General features: G+C 53.8%; 1 protein-coding gene across 11 annotated transcripts in view, besides 4 other annotated features; it reads left to right on the top strand.

The window, feature by feature from the left end:
* GRIP2 (glutamate receptor interacting protein 2) overlaps positions 1 to 14,242 on the top strand; it is a 113,911-nt gene that overhangs the window by 79,000 nt on the left and 20,669 nt on the right. For 5 of the 11 annotated variants that reach the window (XM_011534142.4, XM_011534141.4, NM_001080423.4 and 2 more), the window contains exons 5-17: positions 320 to 406; positions 943 to 1,018; positions 2,231 to 2,376; positions 3,481 to 3,628; positions 3,739 to 3,908; positions 6,121 to 6,246; positions 6,805 to 6,954; positions 9,540 to 9,726; positions 10,208 to 10,353; positions 11,161 to 11,241; positions 12,539 to 12,605; positions 12,708 to 12,853; positions 14,054 to 14,198. In XM_011534142.4, the coding sequence (XP_011532444.1) occupies positions 320 to 406; positions 943 to 1,018; positions 2,231 to 2,376; positions 3,481 to 3,628; positions 3,739 to 3,908; positions 6,121 to 6,246; positions 6,805 to 6,954; positions 9,540 to 9,726; positions 10,208 to 10,353; positions 11,161 to 11,241; positions 12,539 to 12,605; positions 12,708 to 12,853; positions 14,054 to 14,198 (1,675 nt within the window). The other 6 variants (XM_047449036.1, XM_011534143.4, XR_007095752.1 and 3 more) reach the window with 5 other exon arrangements.
* Positions 909 to 1,749: an enhancer, noted in NCBI's record as "H3K4me1 hESC enhancer chr3:14563776-14564616 (GRCh37/hg19 assembly coordinates)". NCBI's record gives its function as "activates a minimal SCP1, AML or CMV promoter by ChIP-STARR-seq in naive H9 embryonic stem cells {active_cell/tissue: H9 hESC(naive)}" and the evidence as "EXISTENCE:reporter gene assay evidence [ECO:0000049][PMID:30033119]".
* Positions 1,750 to 2,591: an enhancer, noted in NCBI's record as "H3K27ac-H3K4me1 hESC enhancer chr3:14562934-14563775 (GRCh37/hg19 assembly coordinates)". NCBI's record gives its function as "activates a minimal SCP1, AML or CMV promoter by ChIP-STARR-seq in naive H9 embryonic stem cells {active_cell/tissue: H9 hESC(naive)}" and the evidence as "EXISTENCE:reporter gene assay evidence [ECO:0000049][PMID:30033119]".
* Positions 5,061 to 5,865: an enhancer, noted in NCBI's record as "H3K4me1 hESC enhancer chr3:14559661-14560465 (GRCh37/hg19 assembly coordinates)". NCBI's record gives its function as "activates a minimal SCP1, AML or CMV promoter by ChIP-STARR-seq in naive H9 embryonic stem cells {active_cell/tissue: H9 hESC(naive)}" and the evidence as "EXISTENCE:reporter gene assay evidence [ECO:0000049][PMID:30033119]".
* Positions 9,610 to 10,111: an enhancer, noted in NCBI's record as "H3K4me1 hESC enhancer chr3:14555415-14555916 (GRCh37/hg19 assembly coordinates)". NCBI's record gives its function as "activates a minimal SCP1, AML or CMV promoter by ChIP-STARR-seq in primed H9 embryonic stem cells {active_cell/tissue: H9 hESC(primed)}" and the evidence as "EXISTENCE:reporter gene assay evidence [ECO:0000049][PMID:30033119]".

The following is a 14,242-nucleotide window of genomic DNA, read 5'->3' as shown; positions in this document are numbered from 1 at the left end:
CTAAAGTCTTGAAGTTTGAGTAACTGTCTGGAATTCAGCCCTGGCCTGAGCCTACCAGCCATGGACTCAAGCCTGAGTTCTGCCGTCGTCTCTGTGAGCATGGGCAGGCCCTTTCCTCTCTCTCAGTGGTGGGCTAAGTGGGATTAGGGGAGAGGATCCCTCTAAGCCTCACTTGTTCGACCTGTAAAATGGGCAAGGGTTTACCCTCCCTGTAATCTCTGTGACTGATCACCCAGTCCTCCTGGAATGAGCTTTGGGCACATCTACCGGCCTGGAGATGCGACTGAGGGACTCAAAGGAGTCCTCCATTTCTCCCCAGCTCCTGAGAATAACCCCAGGATCATTTCAAAGACAGTGGACGTCTCCCTCTACAAGGAGGGCAATAGCTTTGGCTTTGTCCTTAGAGGTCAGTGAAAGAATTGCCCTTGGTATTGGGGCAGCAAGAAAGAGGCTAATACTAATTCCATGTGTGTGCTGTTTGGATTTGAATGTAATTTATGTGTATCTCAGTTCTGACTTTGAAGAACACAGGACCGTTAAGGTAAGTATTCAGTGGGAAAATCTGCCAAGCAATGAAGTAGGCTTGGTTGGGGAGAGTGAGAGGAGAAAGTTGTACCGGAAAATGATGGTGAAAGCTGCTACCGAGACTGAGAACAAAGTCTGGAGCTTCCTAGAGATCAGGGAAAAGGGGAAATAAGGTGAGGTCACAGAAGGGAGGCAAGCCATTTAACAGAGAGAAGACTTTGGTCATGTTACCCACCCCTTGCACCATCTCTTGGGAGGGCGAATTTATTGTTGGTGTCTCATAAGAGGGTCCATGGATAGCAAGGACAAGGTCCTCAAACAGGTTTTATTGAAGGAGCCTGCTCAGGGGCTGTGTGGGAGCCTCTGGATGGGAAGGGGTGGGTGGATGATTCCTGCTTCTTGTCAAATCCTGTCCAGGAGGTGCCCATGAAGATGGGCACAAGTCCCGCCCGCTTGTCCTGACCTACGTGCGGCCCGGTGGCCCTGCCGACAGGTGAGCCGAGGCAGAAGAAATCCACACACTGCACTGACCTGCCCCAACTCCCCTGCGAAGAAGGTGGAGTGGGGTCACCATGCCCCTTCCCCAGATGAAGAGATCGAGGCCCTGAGGGAACACTCCCTGCCCGGTGTCATTCAGGGAGTTGTTGATGGAACCGGGATGTAACCCCAAATGAGGGAAACCTCGAGCCCTTTCTTCCCCAACATACTGCTGTCTCAGGGGTTGGGGTGTTTGGAGAGGGGCAGCCTTGGTGTCGTTCTTCCCTTTCCTGCTCCTTGGTTTTCCCGTCTGTGGAATGGTCCCTAAGAGTTGCTATGAGAGATTTGGGGGCACGCTGATTGGCCACTGCTGTAGCCGTCTGTGACTCAGTCTCCTGGGTCCTGGCTGATCGACCCAGCTCGGCCCCGCCTGGGCCCAGCCCAGAAGGGCCAGGAGGAGAGAATGTGGGGAAAGAACATGTCCAGTTCCCAGCCCCTGATCCCTCGGCCTCCCCAGTGGGAGATTCCTGGCCATTTTAAGAGAAGCCTGGAACGGCCTTGTCAGAAATCTAAATCTGTCCTTGGGACAGGGCCCTGTGATGAGCTATTCATAGAACCCCCGAGAATAGCTTTGGCCACCTGTTGGGAGAGGCGTTCCAGGCTGGGGATGCGACCCAAACCGAGGTGAACCCTGCTGGGGCCCCTCCCCTGGCCCCTGTTGAGTTCTTTCCCAGGCGCGGGTTGTCATCAGGCCAGAATCACCGCTGAGAAACCAGGGTGAGGGTGGAGCAATGGGAAGGGACCAGGACGGCTCAGAGCAGCCCCCAATGCCGTGTGGCATGGGCACAGCTTGCACCCTCTCTGGGCCCTGGTGCTGTCCTTTGTCCCTGAGGCAGGAGTTGGGGGTGACGCTTGAAGAGCACCCCCAGCTCAGACATTTCAGGGTTCTGCACTGAGTCTGTGAATTACTGCACACCCAGAGGAGTGGCAGGCGGCAGAGCCACCCCATCCTGTCTTCATCCCCCCCTTGCTTTATGCAGCTCCCCACTCCTGGAGTGGCTCATTCCTTCACTCACTCATGCGCCCCTTCACCCGTCCCCTCCTCCCCTTCCTCCCCCACCCATTCCCTGCTTCTTCATCCTCCATGTCCCGCTTCCCAGCGCCCTCCCAGACAGGCTGTGCCCAGTGCTGCTGCCGGGCCAGGCTGGTGACTGGCCCTTCCCTACAGGGAGGGCTCCCTGAAGGTGGGCGACAGGCTGCTCAGTGTCGATGGAATCCCGCTGCACGGGGCCAGCCATGCCACCGCCCTGGCCACCCTGCGGCAGTGCAGCCACGAGGCACTCTTTCAGGTGGAGTATGATGTGGCCACCCCTGGTGAGTTGGGGGCCTGAGTGTGTGGGTTGGGGCAGGAGGAGGCCTGGGATGGGGGGAGGTGGCAGTGGCCATGGATCTTTACCACTGCAAAGGCTGCATGACCTTATGACCTTGGGCCAGTCACAGCTTCTCTGGGCAGTAAATAGTATGTGCTAGGCATTGTTTGATGTGCTGGGGATCCAGCCTAGAACAACAGAATTGAGGTGTCTGTTCTCATGGAGCTGGCATTCTGGTGGAGAGAGGACAGTATCCAGAATAGATAAGATATGGTGTATGTCAGTTGGCAATAAGTGCTATGGAAAAAAGAAAAGAGGCAGGGGAGAGAGATGGGACAGGCTGGGGGATGCTCTCTCACTAGGGGAGTGAGGGAATGAGCGAGGCATGGAATGTCCAGGGACAGCATTCCAGGAGGGCGGAAGAGTAAGTGCAAAGGCCCTGAGGCAGGAGCATGGCCAGCATGGTTGGTCACAGTGAGGAGGCTGCCGTGGTTGGCACAGGTGAGTGAAAGGAGGTAAGGGCAGAGCAGGGTGAGGTGGAAGCCGGGAGGCCATAGGAAGCGGCAGCAGCTGTCCAAGCGAGAGCTAAGGGACTGAACCAGGCTGGTGGCTAAGGAGGGGAGAAGGCACGGGATTCAGGAAATATGATGACGGTCCAGCTGGCCTGATCTGCTGAGATTTAGACATGGGTGGGCGAGGGCAGGAGCTAAGGGTGCGGCCAAAGTTTTAATTTCCAGCCACTGGGTGTGTTAATGGAGGTGCCATTTCCTGAGATGGGGATGGGTTGTAGTGAACTTTACAGTTTAGTGCTGGTATACCACAGGCTCTTCATAAACTCAAGCAAATTCATTTCACCCAGCAAAGCCCTGGGATCACAGCCCCTCAGACCTGAGCTCCTGCCCCTCCTCCACTGCTATCTTATCTGTCAAATTGATATAACATTTGGTAGAAGATAAAAAAAGAAAGAAAAGGAATAAAAAATTATGTTAATCAAATGGGTATAACAGTTTCTTCCAGGCAGCAAGGATTAAATCAGGATAGCAGGGTGAGGCTGGGGAGGAAAGTGCTCGGTATTTGCATTTCAAACTTTTTTTCTCCGTCATGCCAGACACGGTGGCTAATGCTTCGGGACCCTTGATGGTGGAAATAGTCAAGACGCCAGGGTCTGCCCTGGGGATCTCGCTCACCACCACCTCCCTCCGGAACAAGTCAGTCATTACCATCGACCGCATCAAGCCAGCCAGCGTGGTGGACAGGTAAGGCACACCCTGGGTGCTGCCACCATGGAGGTGTGTGCAGGGGAGAGGCGGCCCAGAGCTTTGTCTGGCCTGGACCAGCCTCCGCCTTCACTCCCCTGCCTGGCCAGGAGCGGAGCCCTGCACCCTGGAGACCACATCCTGTCCATCGATGGCACCAGCATGGAACACTGCTCGCTGCTTGAGGCCACCAAGCTCCTGGCCAGCATTTCAGAGAAGGTGCGGCTGGAGATCCTGCCTGTGCCCCAGAGTCAGCGGCCACTGAGGCCCTCAGAGGCAGGTGGGTCCCCTCAGTAGATCTCAGGGCCCAAACCTGGGCAGTCATGAGGCCTGAGAGGCCTGGGACCAGAGCCCTGGGCAGGCTGGGAGGAGCAGGCTAAAATGTACTAGGACAAATCCTCATTTGCCCAGGGAAGCTCAAATTATTAAGAGCAGCAACTGAGGGTGGGAAGGTGGGGCAGAGAAACAACTTGAGGGTTTGAATTGAGTCTGCTGGCATAGATGCCCCAAAGCTGGTTTCATCACTGGTTGCATTAATAGGAGTATAAGGGCTAGAATGAGGGAGGGAACAGTCCTGTGCTCTCTGCTACTCAGAGCTTAGATCCTGGGCTCTTCTCAGTGACTCTCAGCAGATCCAGAGGAGGCAGCTGGGAAGTTAGAGAGGGCCTGGAGTTTCTCCTTTGAAGAGTCAGGGTCTCCCAGCTATGAGCAGGGAGCTGGGTGCTGGGCATTTCCAAGAGCAGAGGAAGTGGGTGGTCTGGGGGTCCAGAGGGCACAGTTGGGGCCAGGGGCAGGGTGGGGGGTGGCCACAGAGGGGCAGCTTTCAGCTCAGGGCAGGAAAGCACGTCCAGCAGCCCAAACCTTGGGCCTTGAGTGAAAGTCCCATCTTTGCTCCCAGCAGCTGGACAAGTGCTTTTCCCTCTCTGAGTCCCAGTCATCTCATCTGTAAAAAGGAGGGAGGACTTCTAATGCACAGACATGGGGGAGGCTGACGGAGATAAAGGACAAGGCACAGCCCAGGCCTATAAATCCTAGCCCTAAGGGCAGAGCTGGAGGGTGAGGAAGGAGTCTGTCCACCCCACCCTTTGCAAACCCCATCTTCTGGAAGAGAACGGAATCCCCCACATCTGATTGGGAGGACAGTTCTTGGGGAGAGTCCATCTCTATGGTCTCTGCCAGCTTCTGAAAAAGCCACACTGAATGAACCACAGTCCAGGGACTGGTCTGGGTGACATTAGGGCTTGAAACAGCGTCATTCATTCTCGTACCATTTATCGAGCATCTGCCACGTGCCAGGTTCGGTGCCGCGGCCTGCACGCCTCATTACTTCCTCATGACACCTCTCTGAGCTTAGTCTTACTGTCCTCCCACTTTACAGGGAAAGCTGAGGTAGCGTTGCAAGGCTACACATCTGCGTACAACCCCTTGGCTCTCATTAACTGAGCTTCTACTAAGTGCCAGGCACTGCTCTAAGCATGTTATATTATTAACTCATTCTAACCCTCCCCATTACCCGAGGAGGTGGCCACTCTCTTGGTCCCATTTTACAGATAATAGCACTGAGGCACAGATAGGCGAAGTGACTCCTCCAGGTCCCGCAGTTGGTCAGGGACAGAGCTGGGATTTGACCCAGGCAACTGGCTCCAGAGTGGGCCAAGCCCTGGGGAGGGGGGCTGTGGAGATGTGGCTCAAGGAGACAGAATCAACGGGCTGAGACAGTTGAGTCCTCACCTGTCCATCCGCGCAAGAGGAGAGCTGGCCTGGGGCGGTCTGGGAAGAGGTGTTGTATGGTGGCCAGTTTGGAGGATCAGATGGAGGAAGCAGGGTCTCCTAGGGGGTCGGGGCAGTGGGGGTTCCCTGGGAACTTGGAACAGGAGTGCAAAGAATTCACTGTGGATAAGGCTGGGAAGGGTTGCAGCCTGGGAAGGGGGAGCAGCCTCAGCCCGTGGTGCACTTCAGCCTTGGCCAACCCAGCAGGAAGCCCTGGAGCAAAGGCTGTCCTGGAGAGTCGTGGGGCAGAAATAGCCAGGCCCTAGTGCCCCGGTGCTCAGCCACTGGCCGAGGCTGCCTGGGCTGCAGAGCCACTGCATATCCCCAAAGTGCTGCAGCTGGACACCGTCTGCCAGCTGCACTCCTCACCAATTCTTTCTTGGAGAAACTTCATGGCAGCACTCATAGCCATAGACCTCTCCGGCTCCAGGGCAGGATGCCTGTGTTCAAATCCCTGCTCCACAACCTCCCAGCAGTGGGCCTCGGCCTGGCTTCCTTTCTCTCTCCTGTCCCTGCCTCTCAGGCTGCCATGTGGCAGCAGCTGCACTCTGAACACAGTGCCCGGCACATTGTAGGCGTCCGGGACATGTGAGCAGAATACTAAATGCCTTGCCTGGCTCAGGGGAAGCACGAGGATCTTCTGGTTCTTGCTTTCCTGGCTTCATAGTGCCCTCAGCCACTAACGCCTGCACCTCTCTTTCCTCTTTCTCCGCTGGCTACAGTGAAAGTGCAGAGGAGTGAGCAGCTGCACCGCTGGGACCCCTGCGTGCCCTCCTGCCACAGCCCCCGGCCCGGCCACTGCAGGATGCCCACCTGGGCCACACCTGCTGGCCAGGACCAAAGCCGATGTAATGTGCCTGCCCTGCTGTAGCTCAGCCAGTCTTGTAGCCTTTCCTAGGGAGGGGGCGATGCCTGTTGTCTAAGGGAAGGAAACTCAGACTCAGAGATTAGTGAGCTGGGTGTGGTGGTGCACGCCTGTGGTCCCAGCCACTCGGGAGGCTGAGGCGGGAGGATCGCTTCAGCCTGGGAGGTTGAGGCTGCAGTGAGTCAAGATCACACCGCCGCACTTCAGCCTGGGTGACAGAGCGAGACCTCAACTAAAAAAAAAAAAAAAAAAAAAAAAAAGAGAGAGAGATTAGGTGGCCTGCCTCATTGTCATCTAGCATGCCAGTGGCAAGATTGGCCCCGTCCCTAATAGCTGAGTTTCACAGGGTCTATGGAAACCCTGCAGTCTTTGAGACCCAGAGAGGAAAGGGACTTGCCTGAGGTCACACAATGAGTAACTGATGTGAAGGGGGAAGGCATCCCCATCTCTCCCTGTGGTTGGGTGGCTTCCCAGCACCCACTGTGTGGTGGGGTGGAGAGCCTCGGCTGGGGTTCACGGGGCTGTGCTCTCATCTCCCCAGCCTTGTCTTCAACTCCCTTTTCCTCGCCGACCTTGAACCACGCCTTTTCCTGCAACAACCCCAGCACCCTTCCCCGTGGATCCCAGCCCATGAGTCCTCGAACTACAATGGGGCGGAGGAGGCAGCGAAGAAGGGAACACAAGAGCTCGTGTAAGCTGTGGTCTCTTCCCTCCTCCTTGGGCTGCTTGTATGTCTGAGAGTGAGGCTTGCCAAAGGGTGTATGTCAGGGCGAGGGGAGGTATTTTGGGCAGAGCTCCAGGTGTATGCGTGGGAATGTTAAATAACATGAGTGGAACACCAGGCTGTCATGGATGGTTGGGCAGGTTGTGCACTGCTCAAGAGGACCACTGAGAGGTGCCAGTTACTTTGTACACTTTTATTCTTGTATTTTTATTATGAAAAATTCCTAGGATTTGGTGATAACGTCCTTGAGGAAAGGAAGTCTTTTCAGATGTGCATGAAGTTTTCACATTTTTTGCCATTCAGTCCTGATTCATTCATGGATAAAGCCTCAGTGCTGCGTTACTATATCCTTACCACCTCTCTGCCATTTGTTAATTTCCCCTAAGACAAAGACATGGCCTGAGACTCTAGCTGTCCAGAATGTAATAATTTCCAGTCTTACTTCTCTGCTTATTTATTGTTCAAAATTGCCCTTTTGAAATAAAGATATTTACATGTTAAGAAAAGTAAATCAATAGAAGACAAAAGTAGTGAATGATAAGGCAGGAGCCCTGTGGAAGTGGCAAAACACAATAATGCCTAAAATTTTGAAACCCTTCTTGGGAACAGTCTTTCCTTTGTTGATGCAGAAAGGGTTCTCAGCCTCCTGCCACATGAGCTGCAGAGGCCTCCAGGAAGGATAGAAGATCAAACTGGGCCATTTGAGATAGAACCAGGTGAAAGAAGAGAGGAGTACAGGTCACCTGGTGTCTGAAAAAAGCTAAATATGGTTCTACACTCCCTGGCAGCCAAAGGGAAATGGGAAACAGATTTCAGTCAGATGAGAGAGAAAATATATCTCTACTAACCACCTTTCCTGGCCACCAAAGTGGGGAATATGTAGATGAAAAGATGCAGAAATGCTGTTCGTAGGTGGGGGATGTGGAGACTGGAGGCTCTTGCGACTCCTCTGCCTGTCTCCTTCCTGGGATGTGTAACTAAGAAAGTACTATCATTATTGCTGTTGATAGTAATTTATTAATTAATTATAATTAATTAATTATGGGGCATAGTACTGAATGTACATACTATGGGGACATAGTAGTGAAAAGAAACAAATAGGCCAGGCATGGTGGCTCACGCCTGTAATCCCCACACTTTGGGAGGCCGAGGTGGGCAGATCACTTGAGGCCAGGAGTTCGAGACCAGCCTGACCAACATGGCGAAACTCCATCTCTACCAAAAATACAACAAATTAGCCTTGTATGGTGGCACACGCCTGTAATCCTAGCTACTCTGGAGGTGGGAAAATCGCTTGAACCCGGGAGGCGGAGGTTGCAGTGAGCCGAGGTGGCGCTTCTGCACTCCACCCTGGGCGACACAGTGAGACTTTGTCTCAAAATAAATAAATAAATACATATAAAAACACAATATACCTAAAAACATAACATATTACACATTTTGTAATGTATAATATACAATATAATTTAATAATATAATATGACACAATAATATAATTAGTAATGAAATACCAAATAAATTTTGTTTGATAAATAATAAATGACTTTCAGGATTCATATTAATGATGCAAATATATTTCATATATGGAATGTAAAACAATATTTATTAAATAACCTTATGTATCAAATAGTTAAACATAGAGTTGCCATATCACCCAGCAATTCCACTCCTAGGTATATGCCCAAGAGAAGTGAAAACATGTGTCATCTCCACCTAAAAACTTATACACAAATGTTCATAGTAGCATTATTCACTGTAGCCAAATAGTGGAAGGAACGCAGTATCCACCAATGGATGAATAGATAAACAAAATGTGGTGTATCCATACAATGGAATATTATTCAGCCACAAAAAGGAATGCAATTCTGACACCTGCAAAATGTGGATGAACTTGAAAACATTATGCCAAGTGAAAGCAGCCTGTCACAAAGGCCACATGGTGCATGATTCTGTTTATATAAAGTGCCCAGAACAGGCAAATGCAGAGATGAAAGTAGATTCGCGGTTGCCTAGGGCTGAGGGACATAGGAAGATCTTTGGGGATGGCTGAAGGGAACAGGGTTTCTTCTGGAGGTGATGAAATGTTCTCAAATGCATCGTGGTGATGTTTGCATAATTGTGAATACACTAAAAACCACTGAATTGTACACATTAAATAGGTGACTACTGTGGTATGTAAATTATATCTCAATAAACCTCTTACCGAAAAGCAGAGTGACATAATATAGTAGATACTACAGTAGATCACAGCACAATAATACAATAAAATGACACTGCCCCCCAGAACCTGCTTTACAGCATGACAGTCAATCCCAGCCACTGTCTTCCCTAGTCCTTGCCACACCCCACGAGGTGGGAATCAACGATCCCATTGTTCAGATGAGGAAGCCAAGGCTCAGAGTGAGCTGTGATCTGTCTGGTCCCAGACTGAGTCAGGGCTCCCACTTCCTTGCACTCTGGCTCCAGTGCCTAGGGCCCCGGGATGGGCAGGCCCTGGCAGGAAGACCTCCGTGGGGCGGCTCACCTGAATGCTGGGCCCACCTGTCCTACAGTGTCGCTAGCCTCCAGCACGGTGGGGCCGGGCGGGCAGATTGTGCACACGGAGACCACGGAGGTCGTGCTCTGTGGAGACCCCCTCAGCGGCTTTGGCCTCCAGCTCCAGGGCGGCATCTTCGCCACCGAGACCCTGTCCTCCCCACCCCTCGTGTGCTTCATCGAGCCTGACAGTCCGGCTGAGAGGTGAGCCTCCTGCCCCCTCCCTACTGAGCCTGCCACTCTCTGAGAGAAACTGAGTCACAGCACCAAGCCCTAGCTTCACAAGCGCATCTCACTTAACCATTGCATCAGCCCCAGCACCAGCCCCATTTTACAGATGAGGAAACCGAGGCTCAGAGAAGCTGACTCACTTGCCCAGGATTACACAGCTCACCCATGGAATCCCAGGGCTTGAACCCCTGTCTGCCTGAAGGCAGAGTCCTCTGTATACACAACTTGTAAGGCCCATGCCATCATCCCCATTGGACAGACAGGGAAACTGAGGTCCAGCAAGGTCCAGCCCTTAGCCAGATTCCTGAGGATACACAGGTGGGCCAGGGCAGAGCTGAGAGTCACCCCAGACCAGGAGGTGTGACCCAGGTTCAGTCCTGCCCTGCATGGCGTTCTTGTCTCCCAATGGACCTGTCACGGAGCCTCTTCTCTCTGCCGGGCCCCCTGGGTTCAGGTGTGGGCTGCTGCAGGTGGGGGACCGTGTCCTGTCCATCAATGGCATTGCCACCGAGGACGGGACTATGGAGGAAGCCAACCAGCTCCTGCGGGACGCCGCACTGGCCCACAAGGTCGTGCTGGAGGTGGAGTTCGATGTGGCGGGTGAGTGAGTGGCCCAAGCTTCCTCCTCATATTTCAGGGCCCTGCACCCCTCCTCTCTTTATCCTGCCTCGCCTGTGCAAACGCTCCACCCCATCCCCCTCTGTGCCCAGTGCCCTTCTCCCAGGGGCTTTGCAGCTTATAGTGGGAAGGGAAGCCTTGGCACGGGAGGGAGAAGTTTCCACACCAGGAGACTTTTGCAGAGGGGCAGGACCAAGTGGGGATGGGGTTGGGGAGCTGAAAATACTCCAAGCTCCTTCTCAGCATGGGTTAGGCAAAGAACCTCGAACAACAGTTTGGGTCAGAATTCTGCTTCTGTGACCTCAACACAGTGTGGCTTTGGACAGGACACTCCCTCCACTGTTTCCCCATCCGTAAATAGTTGATAACGATCTTTTCACTATAGGGGCGGTACTTGGGTTAGGTGAGGCATATGCCCAAGAGAAATGAAAACATGAAAATACCCAGCCACGGCCTGGCACATAGTAGGTGCTCAGGAAATATGTGCTAGATTCACACTGGGTTGTTAGGCTGTGGGGAGCTCCCTTCCCGCCCGCCACACTAGCCGACAGCCAAGAGGCCTGGTTCCAGCCCCGACTCTGGTCTGACTAGAGCAGGTCAGTTGTTTTGAGCAAATCTGTCAGCTCACTCTGCCTCAGTTTCCTCCTCTGTTGAGAGGAAGCAGGGGGATGAGATTAGAACTGTGACTTTCGGGGTCACTCCCAGCACAGCCAGAATGGGCATGGGGCTGGGGTTCGCTGAGGCTCCTCCTCTGGGTCCTCACGTCGGTTTATGTCCATCTACCCCCAGAGTCCGTCATCCCAAGCAGTGGCACCTTCCACGTGAAGCTGCCCAAGAAGCGCAGCGTGGAGCTGGGCATCACCATCAGCTGTGAGTCTCCTCCCGCTGCTGTTTGCCCCTGGGAGCGAGCTCAACTGCTGGGGAAAAAGAGCTTGCCAAGCTCAGACCAGCATTTCCATGGCGTGACACCCTGCGGGGCCCGAGGAAAAGGCTTGGGGGTGTGGGGAGGCTGGCTTCCGTGGACCCAGCTGCGTGTTCTCAGCGAGACCCCAGCTTCCCAAAGCTTCAGCTTCCCGTTCTGCACCATGGCAGTCCCCTGGCCTCGTGGGTCTCCCAGGGGGCTTGTGAGGTGCCCATGGTGAGAGAGCATTGGAAGGTGACAAATATTTAGGCTGGGTTTGGTTTTCTGCCTGCTTCTGTGTTCTCAGAGCCCAGCAAAGGCCTGGAACACAGTAGGTGCTTAATTCATGTTTGTCAAAGGAATGAAAATGAGGAATGCAGAAGAAAAACGTAGAATGGGTGAGCATGGGAAAGGTGAAAGCACTCCCGTGGCTCCCATCTTATTCTGAGTAAAAGCTGAGGGCCTCGGGCCCCAGTGAGGCCCTCTGTGCTCTGGACCCCATGACCTCTGACCTCATCTCCCGACTCTCCCCAACTCAAGCCCTCCAGCCGCAGTCAGCCTGGCTGCTCCCTGCCATGCCTGCCCCTTCCTGCCTCTGGGCCTTTGCATCTGAGACCGTTCCTCTGGCCTCTTCCCTACCTCCTTCATGGCTTTGCCCAAATGTCACTTGACAAGGCCTTCCCCGACCACCTGACTGAACATTTACCGCCCTCGACACAAGCCCGTTTCTCAGGTTTCTCCACAGCTCACTTCATCGGTGTTTAAATGTTGTTGATTGTGACCACCACTGGAGTGCCAGCTCCAGGAGGGCAGGGAGAGATTGCTGTCTGTTTTGTTCACTTCTGTGTCTCCCACCCCCAAGCACACAATAGAGCCTGGGTGCTGGCCCTGAGCCCGGTGCTGGGGACACAGACACCAAGCAGACAGCCCCCCTCCACAAAGAGCTCGCAGTTTGCTGGGGGATGGGCTGAGCAGGAGGAAAGAAGAGCTGGCATTGGAAGGGCCATGCTGGATCTTGTGCCTGTGTTATCTGGTTTACTCTCACCACATCCCCATGAGGTCTGCGGTGCCACCCCCATTTTACAGGGGGGAAACTGATGCACAGGGAGGTGAGCTGATTTGCTCACGGTCACCCAGCCAGGAAGCAGTGGGACCAGGATGTGAGTAGGACCAGTGGCTCCGAGTCCACACTCAGACCCCTGGGCTTCGCCACCCCACCCCAGGCTGAGGCCACCAAGGTCAGATTCATGGCCTCTTTTTCTCCAGCGGCCAGCAGGAAACGAGGGGAGCCCTTGATCATCTCCGACATCAAGAAAGGCAGCGTGGCACACAGGTAGGGGCACTGGGGCACAGGAAGGGAAGTGGCCAACAGCAGTGAGTATGGCACCTGCATGCACCAGGCTCCTTCCATCCCCTCTGCCCCCGACTCATGCAGGACGGGCACCCTGGAGCCAGGCGACAAGCTACTGGCCATTGACAATATCCGCCTGGACAACTGCCCCATGGAGGACGCCGTGCAAATCCTGCGGCAGTGCGAGGACCTGGTGAAGCTGAAGATCCGGAAGGACGAGGACAACTCTGGTATGGCCCTCATGCTGGCCTCCTACCTCCAGAGGCCCACCCTTTGACTAGCGGGTTCCCAGCTTGCAATTCAGGGCTCCCTCCAGCCGAGGAAGGGAGGGTGGTGGGCGCTGCTGAAGGCTGGCTGGAATGAACAAATGAAGGAGGGGGCAACACCACAGATTTCTCACTGTCCCCGGCGTCTGGGGCCCTCCAGAGCCTCTGTGAGGTGGACAGGAGTTTGAGACTCTCCCGTAGTCTCCACATCTAGCACCAAGCCTGGCAGAGGAGACCTACTGGGTGCAGCTGGTGCAGCTGGTGGAGAGATGAGTGGGTAGGGCAGGGGAAGAGCGAGGCTGCCCTTTTGAGTGGCAGGCTATGAGTGGATAAGCAAAGACTGCAGACTCAGGCCCCACTGACGCCAGATAGTGATATAAATGAGTGAGAAAAGCTGTATGGATTGGAGAGGCAAAAGGGACGGGTGAGGACTGCGCCAACTGGAAAGTGAATCCCTGATTCAAAGGGGCAGCCTCCAAATCACCAACTCCGACTCTGTGAAAGAAGGTTACTGTGGGAGGTAGATTTCTTTTCTTTTCTTTTCTTTTCTTTTAAGAAAAGTTGGGCCAGGTGCAATGGCTCATACCTGTACACCCCTCACTTTGGGAGGCCAAGGTGGGTGGAGCACTTAAGCCCAGGAGTTCGAGACCAGCCTGGGCAACATGGCGAAACCCCATCTCTACAAAAAATACAAAAATTAGCTGGGTCTGGTGGTGCATGCCTGTAGTCCCAGATACTTGGGAGGCTGAGGTGGGAGGATCACTTGAACCCTGGAAGCAGAGGTATGGCAGTGAACTGAGATCGTGCCATTGCACTCCAGCCTGGGCAGCAGAGCAAGACTCTGTCTCAAAAAAAAAAAAAAAAAAAAAACAACGGATGATCGGGGTTCCCTTTGCTTCCTGCTGGCTGCTGGAGGAAAAGAGGCCACTGTTTCTTGTCATCAATGTTGTCATTATTGTGGGTGAGGTGTGATGTTTCTTTTCTTTACTGGTATTTGGGCAGAAGATGGCCTCAGGGTCCCCAGGTTGTGCTACATGAAATCAGAGCGTGAGTGACTGGGTGAATGAATTAATAAATAAGTATGAGTGAGTGAGTGAGGCCAAGGCTTTAGGAAGCTGGGTACCCCCTCGGGGGCCTCCTCCTCATGGGTCCCCGTGCTTGCAGATGAGCTGGAGACCACAGGTGCCGTCAGTTACACAGTGGAGCTGAAGCGCTACGGGGGTCCCCTGGGCATCACCATTTCGGGCACGGAGGAACCTTTTGACCCCATTGTCATCTCAGGCCTCACCAAGCGTGGCCTGGCTGAGAGGTGAACTGGGGCTCTGTGGGGACGCATGGTGGGCTCAGGGAACA

Source organism: Homo sapiens, chromosome 3 (genome assembly GCF_000001405.40).
Source record: "Homo sapiens chromosome 3, GRCh38.p14 Primary Assembly".
NCBI classification, from domain to species: domain Eukaryota; kingdom Metazoa; phylum Chordata; class Mammalia; order Primates; family Hominidae; genus Homo; species Homo sapiens.
The sequence above is the reverse complement of the archived record's forward strand: the minus strand, read 5'-3'. Positions and strand labels throughout refer to the sequence as shown.